Here is a 21,615-nt window from a genome sequence, read left to right on the forward strand (position 1 = left end):
AATACTGCACACAGCCAAGTATATTGGATTACATTTTATCAGATACTCCTTCACTGAACAGGTGTTACTACTTTTTAGCACTAGAACATTAGTTTTTGTTTATCGAGCCAAAGTGCCAAATACTCTTAAGAATAGCCAATATTGACTTTTTGAAGGATTCTTTAGACTCATTAAACTACTTTTCCTGGATGGAAAAGGCTTTAATCTTTTTTTTTTTTTTTTTTAATTAAAAGCAAGCTTGTGATGGTGCTTGGCAATTGTCAAAGTTTCAACTGACCTCTCCTTTAAGATTCAGAAAAGAAATTTATTATATTGGATTAGCACTCTAAGAAATCCTTGGTCAAAAATGTTTAGGTCTATAGGCTCAGAACCCACATTAAAATATGCTTTCATCCAATGAAGTGAAATTCTTTGGCAGCTCTTCTATTATTGCTTTGGTAAACAATTGCTATATTTTAAAAGCGTGAGCAATGATAGTTAGTATACAGTCAGCCCTCTGTATTCACAGGTTCCATATCCACAAGTTCTGCAGGGTCAACTATGGAACTTGAGCATCCACCTGGATTTTGGTATCTGCAGGGGTTCCTGGAACCAATCCTCTGTGGATACCAAGAGGACTGTCTAGTTTGTAGGTTGGTACTTAATAGTTAACAATTATCTGTGCTCAATGACAATGTCATATGTTAGGATTCAATTCAGATATATGATGAATTTTTAAATATATAGGGTGATAGATTTGAAACGGTAGAAATAAGGACTACTTGTGAGTTTTATCATTACTTTCTTAAAGTCAGATCACTAAAAGTAGGAAAAATAAGACTTTCTGACTATCGTACTTGGCTATGTCTAATAAAGTTGACATATATGTGTGTAGACACACATCTAGGACTAAAATTGGCTGTTACTCTTATTAAATTAGAAAATATAAATGTTCATTATTTTTAGCATTCAAATAATTTAATGTCTGTAGTGGCTGTTTTGTTTGCTATGAAACAAAATAAACATGCTCTATCTATACAAATGGGTTGGACCTTATTTCCTTTAAATGCTTCTATAGATTTTCTCCCATTCTACCTATAATCTAAGCTATTATATTTTAAAAATACATAGACTTTAGGAAGACAATATGCCAAAGGAAAAAAAAACCTATGAACAAAAATACAATGAACAGATTTTAAGTTTCTTCTTTATGATTTTCAAAGTTCCCATGTGGAATTTCCATGAAGAAAACTACAAGAATCAAACTTCATGAAGAAAACTGAAAGAATCAAAGTTGGCAGAAGACAGACACTAAAACAGTGTAACACACACCTTTATCTTCTAAAATGTGCACTGACTCCACTGGAAGCTTGTGGAATGGTGTAGACGCAAGTTGTGCAGCAGATGTGAAGTCTCCTGGGCTCTTAGGACTGGGTGCCAGGGTTTTGTTGCAGCGAATACCCCATACAGTTGAGTCATCCAAAAACTCTTCAGCATGAGGCACTTCCTCCTATAACAGAAGATGAAATGAAAAAAAAGCAGCAATCTCCCTCTTTAGTCCATGAAACCTTATTCAATAACACTTTAAGATCCAAAGAAATGAGGATTAAAGAAGAAACAGATGTCAACCCCTGGCTAATACAGCCCACAATATCATGGTTCAGTTCTTTTCCCCAGAACTGGAAAATCAGTGGAGTTACATTACAGCAAGAGCCACATTTTTGTTTTCAAATTATATATATATTTTTTAATTTGAAAAAGTTGTGATTTACAGAAGAGTTACAAAGATAGCACAGAATTTCCACATACCCTCCTCACCAAGCTTCCTCTAATGTCAACTTCTTATAGAACTGTGGCACATTTGTAAAAATGAAATAGTACTATTAACTGTAGTTTGGATTTCACCTTTTTTTTCCCACTAATGTGCCTCCTCTGTTCAGGGATCCAATCCAGGATCCCATGTCACCTTTAGTTCTCAAGTGTTCTTAGCCTCCTTGAGTCTGTCATTGTCTATTGGCCTTTCCGAGTCTTTTTTGTACTGACACTTTTGAACACTAGTCAGAAACTCCGTAGAATGTCCCTACACAGTTTGGGCTTATTTGATGTTTTCTCATGATTAGACTGGGGTTACAGATTTTTGGGAAGGATATCAGAGGTGAAATGTTCTTCTCATTACATCATATTAGGGGATATCTGCTGTCAACATGACTTATTCCTGGTTAACCCAATCACTTGATTAGGCAGAATCTCCCATGTTTCCCTACTGTAATCTAATTTTCCCTTTCCCTTTGCTTTTTGTCTGAAGCAAGTCACCAAATCTAGCCACACTCAAAAGGAGATGAATTAAACTGGAGGAAAAAAATTCAAAGAATTTGTGGATAAATGTGAAACCACCACAGTAATGAATATTAATAAATAATTTTGGTAGGACACTTGGAAAATATGCACATACCCTGTTTCTTCTTGAATAATTATTAAATAATGTCCTAAAAGAAACATATTCTTCCTATGTTTCATAGTTTTTAGCATAGTTTCACATACACAATATCCTCTGACTGGCATAATCATTTGGTAGAATAAAGCGGATGGGTTGTAGGACCCATTTCATAGATAAAACAGGTTTGTTTACCTTTGGTTTTGAAGGAAGTCTGCTGACAGAGCGTTCTCCAAAGGTCCTGGCTCCTGTGGGTTTATTTTTAGGCTGTGGTAATCTAAGGAAAGATTTGCTAAATTATAAATAGTAAAATATGCTAAGGAAATAAATGCTATCACTTGACCATTAGAAAAGTTCTCTACTTATCCTATTTAATGAGTTAATCTTTATATAGATATTCCTTGCTTTTATAGCAGTTCTAGCAAAACTGAGTGTAATCAAATTAACATGACTTATAAAAGTAGACCTATCATTACTTGAGGGTGGGAAGTACAGAAATTTCTGTCACATAACTTTTAGAAGCCAAAAATGAATTCCTGCAGTACTGTAAATCTGGAGAACTTTGGCAACACCCCCCTGGTTGTGTGGTCAAAAGGCTCATTTGACCATGTGATTGGCAGTTCACATTCTCTCCTCACCACCCCACCACCTCTGGTCCCAGAGAAAACTCGGCAGCATCCCATTAACTAGATGGTATTTTTTTACCCATAATTTTCTTTGTTTCCATCTTCAAACACATGAAAAGCAGATGACAAAGAAGAGATGATCTTATTGACTCCCCAAGCCCCAGATGACCTTACATTTTCTGCAACAGAATAAAAAATAGCATCTAATTATTGTACTAGGAAAAAACATCCTTTATATTAAACTTCAACTACAAATAAGAAAAAGGACTAACAGCTGACAGAAAAGAACTAATATCAGCTTTTCAAATACTAGGCAGTAAGTCACTATAGTGAGATGAAGTGACTTAACTATGGTAACAGGGTTTTGTACTCAAGTCCCAGGTCACGAGTCCCTGCCACATATCAGCAAGGTGTTAATCATTCTCCTAAATCAGTACTATTGTCACCTGACTCACTCAATAAACGCTCTCAGGGTTTCGTTTTCCATTTCCTTCAAGAAAGAATTAAGCTCTTAGCTTTACATTTCAAGTCCTCCTGAGTCTAATTGGCTTCTACTTATCTTTATCATGATCTCTGGCTTCTAGCATGAATCCCCTGACTCTAGACAAATGTGGGCTAGCTGCCAGCCTCCTCTAATACTCTGCCCCAGCCATTCCTCTACCAGTGAAGGCTCAAGTCACACCTTGAGTACTCAGCCCTTCTTATCCATGGGGGTTTTGTCCTTCTTTAGCACTATTCTTTTTTTTTTTTTCCCTTTAATCAAGCAAATCTATCACACACATTGAGTACCTTGTCAAGAACTGTCTTATTTTTATTTCATGCATTCCCTGCCTTTATGTGACAAGCTAATCAAGGGCAGGGTCACCTCTTAAATAATTCTTGATATTTTCTGTGATAACCACCTATAATGCTATGCACTTAGTAGCTTTTAAATAGTTATTACTTTGAAACTGGGCTTCAAATGCATCTTCATTTTGATCTAGAGATTGCCATTCATCTTTGTCATCAGAAATATCAGGAAGTGTAGGAGCCTGAAACATATTCATGATGAAACCTTAAAGAACAAAAAGAATAATTGTAAACAGGTTGCAAAAGAGCTTTCATTAACTTGTCATCAGGTGCTACACACTCAGATAAAATACTTTACCTAATGCTTCTTTTGTGTGCACGGTGGGTGATGGCTGCACTTTGGATGGCGTTGCCTGAACCATTCCCAGTGATGTGTTTGGAGTTGTGTGAAAAGAACTTGTGTTGGCAACCTTATGTGTTTCACACCCTAGCAAAGAAATGGAGACAAAATGTGGTATCAGTAGGGAAATCAGAATAACTTAAAAGACACACAATTTAAGTAAGTTACAATTAAAACAGTTTGTCATTGTTAAAAATTATCACTAAGAATTTCCAGTATTATAGTGCTTTCATATATTTCATTTTTATCTTTATAATAGTCCTATGAAGTAAATGAGGTGAAAATTATCCTTTTACAGAAAAGGAAATGAAGGCTGAGAGAGATTGAGTGGTTGGTCTGGATTATACCAGATTAGCAACTTTGTCATAAATTATACCCTTAGTGCCACTGTATCCCAAGTTCATAGTCACAATGTAAATCTTAAGATTGGCTTCCCATCTCATTCCACTGCAGTCAGGCATAGAATACAAGGCCCTGCACAGCCTGGGTCCTGTTTGGTCAGGCCTCACCTTCCTCCTCTCCCTGCTTACCTCCCCACATTGGTCCCTTTGCTGTGCTTAGAATATATCAGAGATTTTCCTGCTTGAGGGCTTAGCACTTAATATTCCCTCTGTCTGAAAAGTTGCCCAAGCTAATGGCATGGTAGCTCCCTAACTTTAGCCCTTTACCCAAATATCACCTTGACTGAAATTTCAACCCCATAACTCCAATAGTACATTTCTTTCCCCCTCTGTGTGGGTGGAGATTTTTTGTTCATGACTTCATCCCTAACTATGTATAACAGTGCCTGGCACCTACAGAGCAGGCTCAGTAAGTCTTGGTTCAGTTAATGAACCTCCAGCTATTTCAAACAGCCCTCCTCCTCACCAAACTGTCCAGAAAAAAAATGTCCCAGTCACACAGCGGAGAAGTGAAAGCCCAACCTGTGCATCTTATTATTTATAAGACTTATCTCCTATGCAAATGCCTCTAACAAAGTAGTACCGAATAACAGTGTAACACTCCTAATTAAACTTTTGATAACCTTTCCTACCTAACATACTAAAGATGACTCTGTTTTGGATTAATTTCCTGAGAAATTTACTAGAAATGTATTCACAAATTACATTTCCAAAGAATGTTAAAGAAGATGAGACTAACAAGTGGATTTCTACATTTATTTGAAATGGTTCAGGGATAAATAACCTATACTCTAAGAATAGGAAATCTAACACTCAGGTTCATTAAGGCCTGAAGCCTTCATAAACCACAGCCACAAAATACACCTCTGAGTGATACAGAGGAATCTGGACAGAAACACATTTATTATAATTAAACATTACCTTCTTTGATCTCTGCTCCACTCTGTGGCTTGAATTCATGAGTACTCTTATTCACACATCTGGAAGAGAAAACTCTTGAGACACACTAGAGAATAAAATGCTTGATCTAGGCTGGGTGCGGTGGTGGCTCACGCCTGTAATCCCAGCACTTTGGGAGGCCGAGGCGGGAGGATCACCTGAGGTCAGAAGTTCGAGACCAGCCTGGCCAATATGGTGAAACCCCTTCTCTACTAAAAATACAAAAAAACATTAGCGGGGTGTGCTGGCAGGCACCTGTAATCCCAGCTACTTGGGAGGCTGAGGCAGGAGAATCACTTGAACCCAGGAGGCAGAGGTTGCAGTGAGCCAAGATCGCACCATTGCACTCCAGCCTGGGCAACAAGAGCGAGACTCCATCTCAAAACAAAAAAAAAACAAAACAAAAAAATGCTTGATCTATTAGAATTTTTAACTGACTCTCAAGAAATAATAGTAGAAAGAAAAAAGAATCAGTCAATAATTACAAGCCTGTTAAAATACAGATGGAACTACTTAGGGTCTACAGTGTTAGTAAATAAACTGTTTTTTTTTTCCTTTCAGTTCCATTTCAGGAAAAGAATTCTTACAGAAAAGACCAGGTACTAAACATTTGTGTGACACAGGGATTACAGGGATAAGAACCATCTCTATATGTGGTAGAGTCCTATGACTATTCAAATGATCCCATTCATTACAGAGGTTAAAGAGTTGAGCCCGGCTCCAGGCAGCTAACCAGAGTCAGGACGTGGAGAAGCACTGGTGCGCCTCAGCTGTGCAGGATACCTTTGCTGTGATAAGCCAGCAGCCACAGTGCAATGTCCTCTAGCATTTAAAAGTAATGGTTATCAAGAAAGAAAAAAATGACACACAAGCCATTTATATCACACTTTAAGTGCACTTGGGGTAGTGGATCTAACATGTCTATTTAACATTGCTGGAGTTCCCTTAATAAACCCTGTTAAGGTATAAAGTAAAACATGCAAAGCATTTTTAATTTTACAAATCCCTATAAAAACGAGCTAAAAGAGAGCCAAAATGACTGGAGGTAAAAATGTAACTTAAACGAGTGATATGACATTAACTATAATTTCTGAAATCTGGAAAAATCCCTCAAAATTGGGGTAAAAACTTCCAGTGCAGAGGTACATTTTGAGAGACAGAATCATGTGTATTAATCCCAAACTGCTCTCTATGGGAAGACAGAAGGAATATGAGAACACATGTCAAGTAATTGTCTAGACAGTTATGATCCCTGTAGGTATTCAATCAAAGCCAGTGAGCAAAGGGAATTTTAGCCTAACAGCTGTATATTCTTCAGTTACAAAGTGACTGTTGACTTTCAGGTACTGAAAATTTTTAATTCACGAAAGTATAAAATAAATATTCTAAAAGAAGCATGGAATAAGTAAGCCTAAAGGATTGGGAGCAATGTTTTGCCACTTGCTTTTTCAACAACATACCTATCTAAAAATAAAAGGCAGACATCATTCATCTTTTACATACTGTTCCTGATAATGCAGGTCATGTAAAGAAGGTGACAGGTGCCACTCACATCACTGTGATCTCTAGGACTACCTTCAGCTTACCCAGCATCTTTGCTGGCCACTGCAAACATGGAGTCTGTTACTGTCTGGGCTTTCAAAGGAACAGGAGGAGCAATGCTCTGGCTGGTGGCTGGGGACACCAAAGCTGCAGAAATAGCATTTGCCAAAGGAGGAACAACAGGAGGTGCCTCTCTTGGGTTCTTTTCCATGTTCACTGGTGTCTGCTGATAGGTTACTGGAAGACATGGCGCTCTCAGTTCCTGCTGGGAGCCTACACTTGGCCCCATACGTGCTGGATTAACCTTTCATATTAAACAAACAAACAACAAAAACAAAACCATGAAGTCCAGAATACTACTAATCAGGCATTACATCTTCTCAAAGCATGGCATCTGTCTTCAATGGATTCCTTTTTCCTTGAAGTTTCCCCATACTCCTTCTTCAAGCATTCTGAAATGTACAGTCAACAACAAAAAGACCACTCTACAAAATGGATGCTTTGTAGCTTCTGAACCACAGACACCATCAGCAGCTTATAATTTCTAACCACTGAAATAACAAGTCTCTATAGTTGTATCAGCATTTAAGTATTATCTTATTTCTCTTTACTTAATTTTGGGAAAAGGTCGACAAATCAGTGTTATCAAAAGCTCATTACGGTTTTCCTCCCATTAAAATACCCTTAGATTGGTATATGAGATAGGGCTTGAAAAAGGGAAAAAAATAAATAAATAAAATACTTTTCATAGCCGTTTTCACTTTGAAGAATAGGAAACACAAATATAAATTGCAATAATAACTGCCACAAAAGCCTGTCTCACAACAGGAAGCATAACAAGCTCTAAATTTAAAATCTTTGCTTTGCTACTCACATCAGTGTAAGACTGTAATTGTATGCTTTAGTGTTACAAAGTTAGATGAGTTAATTTCTCACCATATAAAAGTATGCTTATAAATTGTTAAGAAAAACACCAGCCAGGCATGGGTGGCTCAAGCCTGTAATCAATCCCAGAACTTTGGGAGACCGAGGCTGGTGGTTTGCTTGAGCTCAAGAGTTTGAGACCAGGCTAGGCAACATGGCAAAACCCTGTCTCTACAAAAAAATACAAGAAATTAGCTGGACATGGAAGCATGTGTCTGTAGTCCCAGCTACTCAGGAAGCTGAGGTGGGAGGATCACTTGAGCCTGGGAGGAGGAGGCTGCAGTGAGCTGAGATTGCACCACTGCATTCCAGCCTAGATGACAGAGTGAGCCCCTGCCTCAAAACACAAACAAACACACACTACCAAATGTCTAGGGCAAGAATAGTTATTTTACAGACTAATGGAAAAAAATATAAAAACCTCATCCTCATTCGTCAGCAAAAATGATAACCTACACCATTTTCTCACCTACCAAATTAGTAAAGATTAAAAATCATCATAATATTCAATTCTGAAGAAATATTCTGAACAATACCAGAGATTTTCTCCACCAGACACCAAAACACATAAGAAAGTTGGAGGCCGAGGTAGGTGGATCACAAGGTCAGGAGTTCACGATCAGCCTGGCCAACATAGTGAAACCTCATCTTTATTAAAAATAGAAAAAATTAGCTGGGCATGGTGGCGGGCGCCTGTAATCCCAGCTGCTCAGGAGGCTGAGGCAGGAGAATTACTTGAACCCAGGAAGCGGAGGTTGCAGTGAGCGGAGATTGCACCACTGCACTCCAGCCTGGGCGATAGTGGGAGATTCCGTCTCAAAAAAAAAGAAAGTTGTAGTAAATACACCTATGAAATGATCAAGAAGAGATCTACTGACTAAAGCAAAGGTATAGATATTTTAGAATTGGATCTTGTATATATGAAAATTTAGTACATGGTAAAGATATTTTAAATCAATGGGGAAAGGCTGAGCAGATCAATAAATGATTTACAGACAACAGGCAATCTACTTGGAAAATATATCCTGATGCTATTCATACAGAGAAGTTTGAAAAAGGGAGGCTTCTAGTTAAAGACAGTGGCTTGATATACTCCAAAAATCTCACCAACATGACAGTGAAGGAATTCTAACACTTCACATAGCTGTTGAAGGAGGCTAGGAGCGGTGTGTCCCTAATTGCTAGACAAGTTCAGAAATCTACAATGCTAGCTACACCTCAGAATGGAAGTGAAGGTGGAGGTGAAGATAGGAACATTGTAAAATTCTGTTTAAAAGCAGATGCTGGCCGGGCACTGTGGCTCAAGCCTGTAATCCCAACACTTTGGGGGGCCAAGGTGGGCGGATCACGAGGTCAGGAGATCAAGACCATCCTGGTAACACGGTGAAACCCTGTCTCTACTAAAAATACAAAAAAAATTAGCCAGGCATGGTGGCAGGCGCCTGTAGTCCCAGCTACTCAGGAGGCTGAGGCAGGAGAATGGCGTGAACCCGGGAGGCGGAGCTTGCAGTGAGTTGAGACCATGCCACTGCCCTCCAGCCTGGGAGACAGTGAGACTCCATCTCAAAAAAAAAAAAAAAAAAAGAATTTAATAAGATGGCCATAAAAATTAAGGCAATCTCAAAGAAAATTAGGGGGAAAAAAGGACAAAGATAGAAAATGGTGAAATTTAAGAAAATTAAATGACCAGTCCAGGATAGCCTAACAGAGAGTATGAGGAAAAAATATCCACCTCTGAAAATATATATCAAGAAAATTCCCCAGAATTGCAAAACTAGAACATTTAAGCACTAAGTATAATGGATGAAAAGATAAATACCAGATACATCACTATGTCACAATACAGCAGGGAAAAATGATTCTACACCCCTCTAGAGAAAAACAAACATCACATCAAAGAACCAACAATCAGAAGGACTCTGGGTTTTTCCACACCAATAGCGCAAGCCAAAAAACAATGAAGGAGTGTCTTTAAAAACTCTGAGGGAATGTAAGTTCCCTCCTAGAACATTGTGCCCAACCAAATTATCAACCAAATGTGACGGTAAAATAAAGATGCTTTTAGACATGCAAGAGACCTCAAAAACTAACCCCTCAAACATGCTGCTGTTGCCTTTTTTTTTTTTTTTTTTAAATAAGCTACTGGAGAAAGTGTGCCTTCGAAATGAGGACAGTAAGGAGAGATAACGACATGGGAACCAGGGATATACCACAGGAAAGGAGCCAGGGAGAACAATTTATTAACAATTTCTTGCAACTATCCAGGGAAAATATAAATTATACAAAAAGAAATCCAAACAAATCAGAAAAAAAATGAAATGACTCAATAGAAAAATGGACAAAGCCATTCAGTCAATTTAAAGGAAAGAAGTTAAACAGCCACGAAATGTATCCAAAAAATGTCCAAATCTACCTATAATTAAAGAAACTACATCAGGTGCTTGAAAAGATTTAGTATAGTTAATGTTAGCCAAATGTGTACAAGAAACAAGTCCTTTTACACACTGTTAATGTGAGTGCACAGTCCGAAGTTTATAGAGGGCAGACTGACAGCATTTTAGGTACATACACTTGAAAGGTAGCATGATTTCTAACAGTTTCTACATGATACACTCCCTTTTATAAGGTATGACAGAAGACTATGCTGCAAGTAGAATTAGTTAGATATCTATGCAATAGCAGTGAAAGATCTATCAGAGGTGTTAGGTAGAAAAAGCAGAAAATAAGTCTTATTTATGTAGAACGTTCTATTGTATTCATATTTATGTGTTTTCATACACAATAAGTCTGGAAAAATACAAACTATAGCAGTTAGCAATAAAGGAGAACATTCAGACCAGACGTGGTGGCTCACACCTGTAATCACAACACTTTGGGAGGCTGAGGCAAGAGGATCGCTTGAGCCCAGGAGTTTGACACCAGGCTGGGCAACATGGCGAGACCCCATCTCTATAAAAATAAAATAAAAAATTAGGTGGGTGTGGTGGCACATGCCTGTGGTTGCAGCTACTAAGGAGGATACAATGAACAGTTATCATACCACTGCACTCTAGCATGGGTGACAGAGCAAGACCCCGTCTAAAAATTAAAAAAAAAAGAAAAAGAATGTTTGTGTGTGTGTGTGTGTGTGTGTGTGTGTGTGTATGCATACATACATACATATATACAAATGAATGCTCTCCTTCATATATACATATATACACACCTTTCATGTGATATTTTAAAAAACCATCTAGTCACATATTTTTATACTTTCCAAATATGTAAGAAAATAAAGTATTTTATCTTCATCGTATCCTATGTCATAGACAAACATATAATATGAAAGATTAAGCAACCATTATACAGTTTAAATGAGTTTATTTCCAATCTCCTTCATTCACTACTAATTTTAAGAAAATATATGTGGCTCTAACACACTCATCACTTCTCTGCTTTTCCAAGATGAAATAATGGCAAACAAAAAATATATCTAAATGATAAATTATTGAGAGTACTATACTCCAATTTTCATTACACAATAGTCACTGTACAAAAACCAGAAAAAGGTCTATATATAAATACATGAATATATAGACATGTACACATACACAAACATGTAAAACATACTACCATTCTGTTTTGTAACTTTCCACTCTCACTCTACATTGTGAACGTCTATGTCAAATTATTTTAGACTTTCAGAAAGTTACTAGCTAAATTAACATCAGAATTAACTCTAAAACAGCACATAGAAAGGAACAAATCAAACTGCCATTCCTGCTGCTGGGCACAGGATGTGTCATGAGGAGCACAACATACCTCGGACCTTTCCTGGGAAGCGGGCAGATCCTCATGGGATGTCTCCACCACCTGATGCAACTTCTTATGAAGTTCATCCATTTTCTGTTTTAATAGCTGTTCTTCAAAAGCATTTGCTTCTTTCCTTTTCATATAATGTCTGTCTTCATTTACTTTAGGAAAGATAGAAATGGTTTGCATGCAAAATTTAAATCCAGGTCATCATAGGAATACATGCAAAATGAGGAAAGGGTTATATTTTAGGGGGCCGATTTTTTTATTAGTCTTTCTCATATTTGGTTTTAGAAGTGAAACTTGTATTACCTTTTAATTTTTACCTGCCCACAGCTTGGCTACTACATGTTTAGGACATGTAAATTACTAAAAAAAAAAAAAAACTACATGCTGATCAAAAATAATAATAATAGCACAGTATAATAGTAAAGATTTTTGTAGCCATCATATACATGACTGTTCTTGTAAACAATCATGATTGTGCAAATCATTTTAAAATAAATTTTTATTTGTTTTTATAAGATAAAAATTTCTAGAGACTTTCTAAGTAGAAGTGAACTGCACTAAATGATCAGGGCTTCAAGCATGCTGTGGTCAGTCCCATTTCCAACAACTGGTTAACAGAGTCATGCCACAGGCAAGTCAAAGAGTCTGGCTTAAAACTTCTGGTCACAGCATGTGAAAGAAAAACACATCTATGCCCAGCACAAAATGAGTCCTCTGTGTTAACTGACTTGTCTTCTCTGTTGTCAACCGAGTATGAAAAGTAATGAACAGAAAAGAAAGGCCCAGAATGGCTATAGCCCAAATAACTTAGATAGTATAAAAGTCCTGAGTGGAATAAAGGTTCAAATAACTGACCTAGAGGTTTAGAATTACTATATACAGATAATACTGAAAAATTTTTAAATATTTATTTCACTAAAGCTAAGATGACACTGGTATGGATATCTAATTTAGTACTCTTTCAACTATGAGTTTGCTGCCAAGACATCAATTTAGTCCTTGGACTAACTTGGCTGCTACACTAGTGGTTAAGCAATTTCCAATTCAGAAAAAAAAAGTGCAGCTTGCTGCCAGCGCAGTTTTCTCGGGGCAAACGCAAAATGGGTTAATAATGATTTCTGGGCTTCTGATAGGATGAGATGAAGACTTTCTTGCAGTCTTTCAACATAGTCAATTATTCTTTAAAAAAGTAATTACTCAGAGATGAGGATTTTTTTATGTGACATAAGAATAACTAAAAATACAAGATTGCAAGTACCCCATTGCTCATGCTTTCTCCGTTGATTGTATTTCTGGGCTCTCAATTCTTCAAAGGAAAATTCTGATTCCCCACGAATAAGCTTCTCCTTGCAATACATAACAACCTGCTCAACATCAACTTTGGATGCCAAAGATGAGTGCACAGAATATTCTGATTTAGAAATCGTGATCACTCTTCGTTCCCTACAATGGGGGAAAATACATTATTTACAACAATGTACCTAAGAGCACTTAAAGGAAACTAATAATAGATTAATGCACTGATTATACTTGCATATTTGACTCTTTATCACAAGCTGAAGATATCACTCCAGAAAGCTCTGAACCCTAAAAAACAGAAAACAAACATGAGCATTCACTTATCTGAGAAGAAAGCTTCACCCAAATTACTTCACAAAACAATATGAAAATGCTTGAGGGGAAGAGGGACCTTAATCCCAAGTAGATTTATGTAATTTTAAATTATGATTAATATCAAAAGATTGTTTGTATCAACAACCTTACAATAACTATTGTAACTTAATCTAATCAAAGAAAGAGGTTTTTTTGGTTGTTGTTTTGTTTTTAATAAAGTCCTACTCAGCAGTAGAGAAGAACCATAGCTGATTTCCCTTCAATTCATAGTCTAGTAGCTAGAGTATAGTGTCTGAACATTATGGGATTGACATTCCCAACTGCTGCTAATTTTTTTTTTAATTAAAATTTTCCTCAGGTACTACTCTGCCCTCAAGAGTTCTCAAATTCCTTCACTAAACAAATATTTGCCAGACACCTCCATGTCACACTCTGAGCTAGGTCTGGGAAATGTGACTGCAATCAAGACCCATCTCTACTGTCTGGAGCTTAGACAGGACAATAGGTGGTCAGGAGGGTGGCAAGCATGTGTAGGACGTAAAATGTAAATTGGGACAAGCTGCACTACCTGTCAAAGTCAGGAGCGCATATTCTACTTCTAAGAATGTATTACATTAATGAAACCTGTACATACACCCTAAGCACACAGGCGTTTCCATTGGCTTTTGCTTCAAGGAGGTCCTTGATGAACTTTGAAAGAAAGTTGTACTGTGGAGGGTAACATGGGAAACATAGTTGGGAAACATGAGGCTGAGGGAAGAAGAGAGACTTGAGCATTTTCCCATGTTGATACACCATGGAGGCAGAAGAGATCTCCACAGGGCAAAAACCTTGATGAGGATAAGGACAAGCACAGATAGAAGGCCACCTTTTCTCACAGGGAAGGATGCAGTTACATTTATTGGTTGGTGGCAGAAAACTGATAGATGTCACTTGATGGCATCTGCTATCTGTTGAAATAGTATTTTTGAAGTTCCTGAGAGAGAGGCTAGAGGTAGCGAGGTCCCAAGTTTGAAGAGACTGAAAAGAAGTCTAAAATCACTATAGTTTGGCGCTAGAGTGAACCTGGAAACATAAGAGATACACAAAACATAAAGAGTGAATCAGACACTGGAAGCATGTCCCATTGCCTGGGAGTATGACCCATTGCCTGGGAGTATGAGACCTCCCTGTTACTTGAGGTAACAGGCAGCAATCTTTGAGGCTCTGAGTTTTGAAAGCCAGGCTCAGAAGCCCCCAGGTGGATCCATTCCCAGTAGGGATTTCCAGAGCCTATGCAGAGGCCAGCAGAACAGAGGAAAGGACATTGGTAAGGGAAAAGCTGGTGGGGAGAGTAAAGACAGGAGGCCGTGTGGTGAGGGCCTCTGGGTTAGACAACAAATTGTATTTGAGGTGAGCTGTGTGGGAGAATAACAGGCCCAGGAAGTTGCCACAGGAGCAGGTGGCTGACATGGAGCTCAGAGCCATGAAGAGAAAGATCAAAGAAATGAGATGTCAAAGTGGATGTAGAAGGCAGCCAGGCTGGCCATTCAATACCATTCCCAGTTTCCACACAAGCTACAAATGTCATTATTACCTGATTCTTAGAAATGCAGGCCATGTTATTTCCTGGATTTGATTTTGATGTTATCATTTGATTTAAAACCTGAACATTATGCAGAGGTTCTGAGGTTCTAGCTATGAGGGAAAAGAGGATAAAATACGGAGAAATTAAGGGTAAAACCGTAAGTAAAATTATCACATAATAAATTCCCCTGATCCTTCCAGTAGGAATCATAAGAAGTAAATCAACTCATTCACACTGTCTCAGAAATTTCAACTAAAACGTTTTTAAAATAAGTATTATACAATTTTCTGATCAACTCAACATGCCAGGAAGTACCCAAAAGAAATGTAAAACCTAACTAATAATTTTAAACAACCAGATAGGATAGGCAATGCTTATTGCTGAAATGTGATACTTAGTTCTAAGAAAAAGAAATGGCTGTATTTCTTTAAAAGTTGCATTAAACACATTTGATTCCATTCAAAATAGATGGAGTCCAGATTAAGTATTTTGGTCAATTTTGAATTAAAAAAAAATCCTACAAATACAGTGAAATTATCAATTTTTTTTTTGCAGGTTTGAGCTTTTAAAATGCTAAGACAAAGCCTCTGCTCTTTGGGGCTATTTAGTGGGCATTATGATGATCAGAATGCTTTCTCTGTTACCTGAGAGTGCAATTTGGTTTTCATTAAAAATTGGATGGGTTTTTTTTTTTTTTTTTTTTTTTTTTTGTGGAGACGGAGTCTCACTCTGTCGCCCGGGCTGGAATGAAGTGGCATGATTTCAGCTCACTGCAACCTCTGCCTCCCGGGCTCAAGCAATTCTCCTGCCTCAGCCTCCTGAGTAGCCAGGACTACAGATGCCCACCACCACACCTGGCTAATTTTTGTATTTTAGTAGAGATGGGGTTTCACCATGTTGGCCAGGCTGGTCTCGAACTCCTGACCCCAGGTGATGCACCCATCTTGGCCTCCCAAAGTGCTGGGATTACAGGTGTGAGCCACCATGCCCAGCCGGGTTTGTTTTTTAAAGAAAAGAAAATACTAGTACAAATCCAAGACTAAATGGACAACAACAGGCATTTTAGAAAGCCTGATTTTACCTTGAGCTGGCAAATGGGTTTCAGTGAGGCGTGTCTGAAATAACCTAAATGACAGCAGAAAAGGCATCAATGTAGATTATAAACTTACAGTACATAGCTGTTAGAGTGAAAACTAAATACCATAGACAACTTATTATAAGCTAGTAAAGTCTGACGTCAAGAGAGAATGTACAGTTGCATTTTAGAGTTGCTTCGAAATTAAAAAATAAAATTCTGGAAATATTTTTATATCCAATACATTATCTGTATTACAAAAATTCCTCCTTTTGCTTAGTTTATGTTAGTATTTCTCAAATTCATATAAAAATGCACCCTCTTCTCCACGTGTCAAGTCTGCAAATGTTCTAACACAGGATGTTTGACCTCCTACTTTAGGTTCTTTATACATTTGGAACATAATGAATATATTTGGAAGAAAGAAGTGAAAGTACAAAAGTACTTAGATTACTGCTTCAAAAGGCAGACATCATTGTTCATACTCTGTGAGAAGTTCTCAAATATGTCATTTCATGGCATATTTCATTTTCAACTCTACCTGTCGGGTAATGTGCAATTCCCATGCCTGACATTTCTGAGCGATGCGAGCCAAAGTGCACACTATAAAGCAACCAAGTGGTAACCCTTGTTGGCTCTTAAGTCAAACAAACCAATGGTTAAGAAGCCATTTTACGTGATGAGGAAAGACTGAAAATTACATATTAAATAATTATTGTTAGTTTTCTTAGGTATGATTATCGAATAAGGCTCTGTAAGAAATAAGATTTTAGAGATGTTTACAATAGGGTTTGGGGAAAAATATTTTGCTGTTATGGATCGGCTTTAAAATTTGTCAGCATTGAGAAACACAAAATGTTAATTATTAAAAGTTGGTGATAGATAAATGGAAGTTTATTATACTAATTTTTTCTTTTTTATGTGTGTTTGAAAAATCTCAATGACGTTTTAAAAAAGCATGAGTACTACAGAAAAACTGAAAAGATGAGTATATTAAAGGCTGGCAAGGGGTGCAGTAGATAATAGGTCTCAAATTCTACTAATGAGAGGGGAAGAGTAAACAATTGGTATAACCTTCAAGTAGGTAGTTTGGTTACATGCACCACAAGTGTAAAAACTCTTCATATACTCTTTGACTCAATAGTTTCAATTCTGAGAATCTATGAAAAGAAACTAAGTAAAAATAGGAAATATACTAAAAAATAATTTTATGATGAAGGAAAAAGACCTTGACGCAAAGCTGTATATGTACATAAAGCATGCATGCAATCCTGTAACAAGAAGAGAAAAAAGCGCCAAGGAAAATGCCAAAAGGTTTTCTTTCGTTTTCTGTATTTTCACAATTCCCTAAGTGAGATATGTTTAATCATAGAAAAAGTTTTAAAAATGTGAACAATGTTATTAAGAAATATATTCATCACAGGCCAGGCGCAGTGGCTCACACCTGTAATCCCAGCACTTTGGGAGGCCGAGTGAGGCAGGAAGATCACTTGAGGTCAGGGGTTCAAGACCAGTCTGGCCAACATGGCGAAACCTCGTCTCTACTAAAAATACAAAAATTAGCTGGGCATGGTGGCACGTCCCTATAGTCCCAGCTAGTCAAGAGGCTGAGGCAGGAGAATCTCTTGAGCCCAGAAGTGGCAGGTTGCAGTGAGCTGAGATTACACCATCGCACTCCAGCCTGGGCGACAGAGTGAGACTCCATCTCAAAAAAAAAAAGTATTTATCATGGTGCTGTTTATAAAAATCAAAATGTAAACAACTTCAATGTCCAATTGGAGAGTGGATTATGACACAACACTGTGACAGATTTCACAACTACTATAGAAGTAGTTTAAAAGCTCATAATTTCTTAAGTATTTCTTTGTATGTATAACTAGACATACAATATGATTTGCTGTTAAAATATATAAACACAAAGATACCCACACAGGTACAGGAAAAGATACTAGAAGGAAATGTGCCAGTTATTGTTAACAGTAATATTTCTGAGCAGTTTTTTTCTTTACACTATCCTGTATTATCCACATTGTCCAAAACTAGAAGGATTTCCCTGTACAAATTGCTAATGATACAATTTTTAACAGCAAACATTACTTTTCAAAGTCAGAATCATCACAGAGAGTTTGACTTTGTAACTACCTGTATTGTTGTTGCAGGAACTCTCTGGGTTCAGCCTGGTTTTGAATTCCTCTCTGAAGGACAGCACTGGCATGCTGCAGCTCTCCTTGGGCTTCCAGATGCCCCGCCCAGGCAATGTACAGAGGGGATGACAGGGTTCCAATCCCATGGTTGTACAGAAACTCAAAAAATTGATGGAGGTCACTGTTGTACTCAGCCTACACGAACCCAAAACAAAAAGACATAAGAATAATGGAACTGCTAGTCTATGTCTGGTGAGGAGTTAGCCAGCTAAGCTGGGAGCCCCTAGGTAGCTTCGGATGGGAGCTGGTCATCAGCAAAACCAAGGCAGGTTTAGAGGGTTGGACTTTTCAGCCCCACTGCTGAACCTCCAGGGAGGGAAGAGGGACTGAAGTTTAAGCCAATCACCAATGGCCAATGATTTAATCAATCATGTCTGTGTAAGGCACCTCCATAAAAACCCAAAACGATAGAGCTTAGACAAGCTTCTGGAGAGCTAAATACATGGAGGTTCCTGGAGGGTGTCACACCTGGAAAGGGCAAGGAAGCTCCACACACCTTCCCCAATACCTTGCCCTAAACATCTCTTCATCTGGTGTTCATCAGTATTCTTAATAATATCCTTTATAATAAAACATTAACCGTAGGTGTTTCCTTGAGTTCTGTGAGCCACTCATGCAAACTGATCGAACTCAGACCCAGGGAGAGGGTTGTGCGAACTCTGCTTTGTAGCCAGTCAGGCAGAAGCACAGGTAAAACAACCTGTGGCTTGCAACTGGCATTGTAAGTGAGAGGCAGTCTTGTGGAACAGAACCCTTAAGCTGTGGAATCTGAAGTTATTTTCAGGTAGTGCTGGAATTGAATTGGAGACACAACTACAGAGTTGATTGACTGGTTGCTGGTAGAGAGAAGTCCGCACATACTTTTTTTTTGGTGGGGGAGCGGGGGGTGGGGACAGAGTCTCACTCTGTCACCCAGGCTGGAGTGCAGTGACATGATCTGATCTCGGCTCATGGCAACCTCCACCTCCCAGGCTCGAGCAATTCTCCTGCCATAGCCCCCCGAGTAGCTGGGATTACAGGTGCCTGCCACCATGCCCAGTTAATTTTTGTATTTTTAGTAGAGACAGGATTTTACCACGTTGGCCAGGCTGGTCTCGAACTCCTGAACTAAAGTGATCGACCTGCCTTGGCCTCCCAAAGTGCTGGGATTACAGGTGTGAGCCACTGCGCCCAGCCCCTACATACTTTTTAATCACTAGTGGCACAGAAGTCTGTTGAATCAGAGAATGAACAGATTTTCCTCTCTGTATCTTCAGAACTAGAAACAAGGAATTAAAAGCCTAAAATGATCTTACAATCTAAGTTTAAAAAGCAAAAGTACAACATGATTATAGATTTGATTATACATCTTAAGTATACTTACAAATTTTAAACAATAACTGATGAATCTTGGGTCATTGTGGTATTTCTTCTTATCTAAAAATTCCTTCATTAAATGTTCTAGTAAAGTTATCAAGTATTCTTTATTCTCAGGAAAATTCTCTTCTACCCACTGTATGTATCTAGAAAAATATGGATAATGTTAATTTTCCATGGGGCAGTGTATAGTTTGTTTAAGGGAAATAAAATAACTAAATGCTGACCTTTCCCATTCACCAAGAGGGTCATTGCCCTTGTAGCTCTGCATGTGGGCTTCAAGCATCCTAGAAGAGAGAAAGGTATGCACATGGGATATTAGGGATAATTTCTACAAGCAAAAGATATACTTCATTTTATATATACCATTTATGTGCATTAAAACAAAAATCTTAAATATCAATCATTTTATATATACACCATTTATATGCATTAAAATGAAAATCTTAAATATCGATCCAAATAGTATTTAAAATTTTAAGAAGCATTCGCTCAGACATAGTCAGAAAACTCAGAAGCAGCCAGTGTTTTTCCATAAGTCCCAGCTCTATCCCCAAGAGTCTCCTTCTCCTCTCACGGAACCCCAATGTCACTACCACCATGAGGGGCAGTTGCCAGAAGTTTGCTCCTCCTCCTAACAAGAGGATCCAAGCATGGCACTGACTCAGACTCCTGCCCTTCCAGCAGGATCCAGGCATGGCACTGACTCAGACCTCTGCCCTTCCAGTGGGATCCAGGCATGGCACTGACTCAGACCTCTGCCCTTCCAGTGGGATCTAGGCATGGCACTGACTGAGACACCTGCCCTTCCAGTGGGATCCAGGCATGGCACTGACTCAGACACCTGCCTTTGCTTCCCAGGAGCATGGCTGAGACACGGCTGGAACGAGTCAAAGAGGGATTGTAAACGGGTGTGAGGCAGCCCAGAGTACCACAAAGTAGAGTTCCCAGACACAGTTTGTTTTCATTGCTTCAAAGTAACAAAGTCCCTGAGGAAGAGCAGATGATAACAGTGCTCAGAAATCAGCCACAGAGCTCCCAGAGAACTCTGCATCCCCCACTTCCATATACTCAACTACAGCTGAAAAAAAGCAGCCAGGCAAAGCAAAATTCCCCTTGGGGAGAGCTAGAAGGGCTAAACAAAAAGAAACATGCAAAGTAATGTCAGGTTACATTAAGTACTCAGAAGAACAAACAAAATAACATATAATAGGAGAAAGGGTGAGAATGTGATGAGTTACTATTTTTAGATAGGCTGGTCAAGGAAGCCCTGCCTCTCAGAGGCGGTGACATGTGATCAGTGCCAGACAGCCACGTAGCTATCTGAGGGGGAAATGGTCAAGGCTGAGAGAACTTCAAGAACAGAAAGCAAGCCAGTGTGGTTCAAGTGTGATGAGCAGGAAAAGGTGGGGGTGACAAGACCTAATTTGCATTTTAATGTCCCTCTGTGTGAAGGAGGTAGAGGTGAGAATCGAAGTGGGAAACCAGTCAGGAAGACTCCGAGGTTTTCTATCTGAGACACTATAAGATTTTTTTTTTTTTTGAAAAAACGATGTAAAAAGCAATATGTATTTTTATTTTTATTTTTTTAGAGATGGAATCTTGCTCTGTTGCCCACGCTGGAGTGCAACAGTGCAATCATGGCTCGCTGTAACCTCGAACTCTTGTGTTCAAGAGATCCTCCTGCCTCAGCCTCCTGAGTAGCTGAGGCTACAGGCACATGCCACCATGTCTGGCTAATTTTTTATTTTTTGCCGAGATGAGGTATCACTATATTTCGCAGGCTGGTCTTGAACTCCTGGCCTCAAGTGACTCTCTCACCTTGGTCTCCCAAAGTGTTAGAATTACAGGCATGAGCCACCATGTCCTGCCTAAAAAGCAATATTTACTTCTAGCTATCACCTCGGTATATGAATGAAATCAATGTTTCTTATGACTCAAAATCCAGAAGCCACAAAAGAAAA

At 38.4% G+C, this 21,615-nt stretch overlaps 1 protein-coding gene and 1 non-coding gene across 5 annotated transcripts in view, besides 1 other annotated feature; both read right to left on the reverse strand.

Moving 5' to 3' along the window:
• Positions 1-21,615, reverse strand: part of BUB1 (BUB1 mitotic checkpoint serine/threonine kinase) — a 40,536-nt gene that overhangs the window by 16,900 nt on the left and 2,021 nt on the right. For 3 of the 4 annotated variants that reach the window (NM_001278617.2, NM_004336.5, XM_047445616.1), the window contains exons 2-16: positions 19,879-19,938; positions 19,659-19,797; positions 18,234-18,430; positions 16,098-16,141; positions 15,026-15,126; positions 13,370-13,422; positions 13,094-13,278; positions 11,836-11,987; positions 7,155-7,414; positions 5,551-5,609; positions 4,187-4,315; positions 3,983-4,093; positions 3,119-3,218; positions 2,609-2,690; positions 1,312-1,489 (exon numbers count right to left, since the gene is read on the reverse strand). In NM_001278617.2, coding sequence (NP_001265546.1) covers positions 1,312-1,489; positions 2,609-2,690; positions 3,119-3,218; positions 3,983-4,093; positions 4,187-4,315; positions 5,551-5,609; positions 7,155-7,414; positions 11,836-11,987; positions 13,094-13,278; positions 13,370-13,422; positions 15,026-15,126; positions 16,098-16,141; positions 18,234-18,430; positions 19,659-19,797; positions 19,879-19,938 — 1,850 coding nt within the window. The remainder of the gene's footprint in view (positions 1-1,311; positions 1,490-2,608; positions 2,691-3,118; positions 3,219-3,982; positions 4,094-4,186; positions 4,316-5,550; positions 5,610-7,154; positions 7,415-11,835; positions 11,988-13,093; positions 13,279-13,369; positions 13,423-15,025; positions 15,127-16,097; positions 16,142-18,233; positions 18,431-19,658; positions 19,798-19,878; positions 19,939-21,615) is intronic. The other variant, NM_001278616.2, reaches the window with a different exon arrangement.
• Positions 3,723-3,822, reverse strand: SNORD132 (small nucleolar RNA, C/D box 132). The gene has a single exon (NR_132975.1). It is a non-coding gene; the product is annotated as a small nucleolar RNA, C/D box 132 (small nucleolar RNA).
• Positions 20,601-20,820: an enhancer, noted in NCBI's record as "active region_16371". NCBI's record gives its function as "activates an Ori minimal core promoter by ATAC-STARR-seq in GM12878 lymphoblastoid cells {active_cell/tissue: GM12878}" and the evidence as "EXISTENCE:reporter gene assay evidence [ECO:0000049][PMID:35858748]".

The sequence above is a fragment of the Homo sapiens genome, chromosome 2 (genome assembly GCF_000001405.40).
Source record: "Homo sapiens chromosome 2, GRCh38.p14 Primary Assembly".
Lineage (NCBI taxonomy): Eukaryota > Metazoa > Chordata > Mammalia > Primates > Hominidae > Homo > Homo sapiens.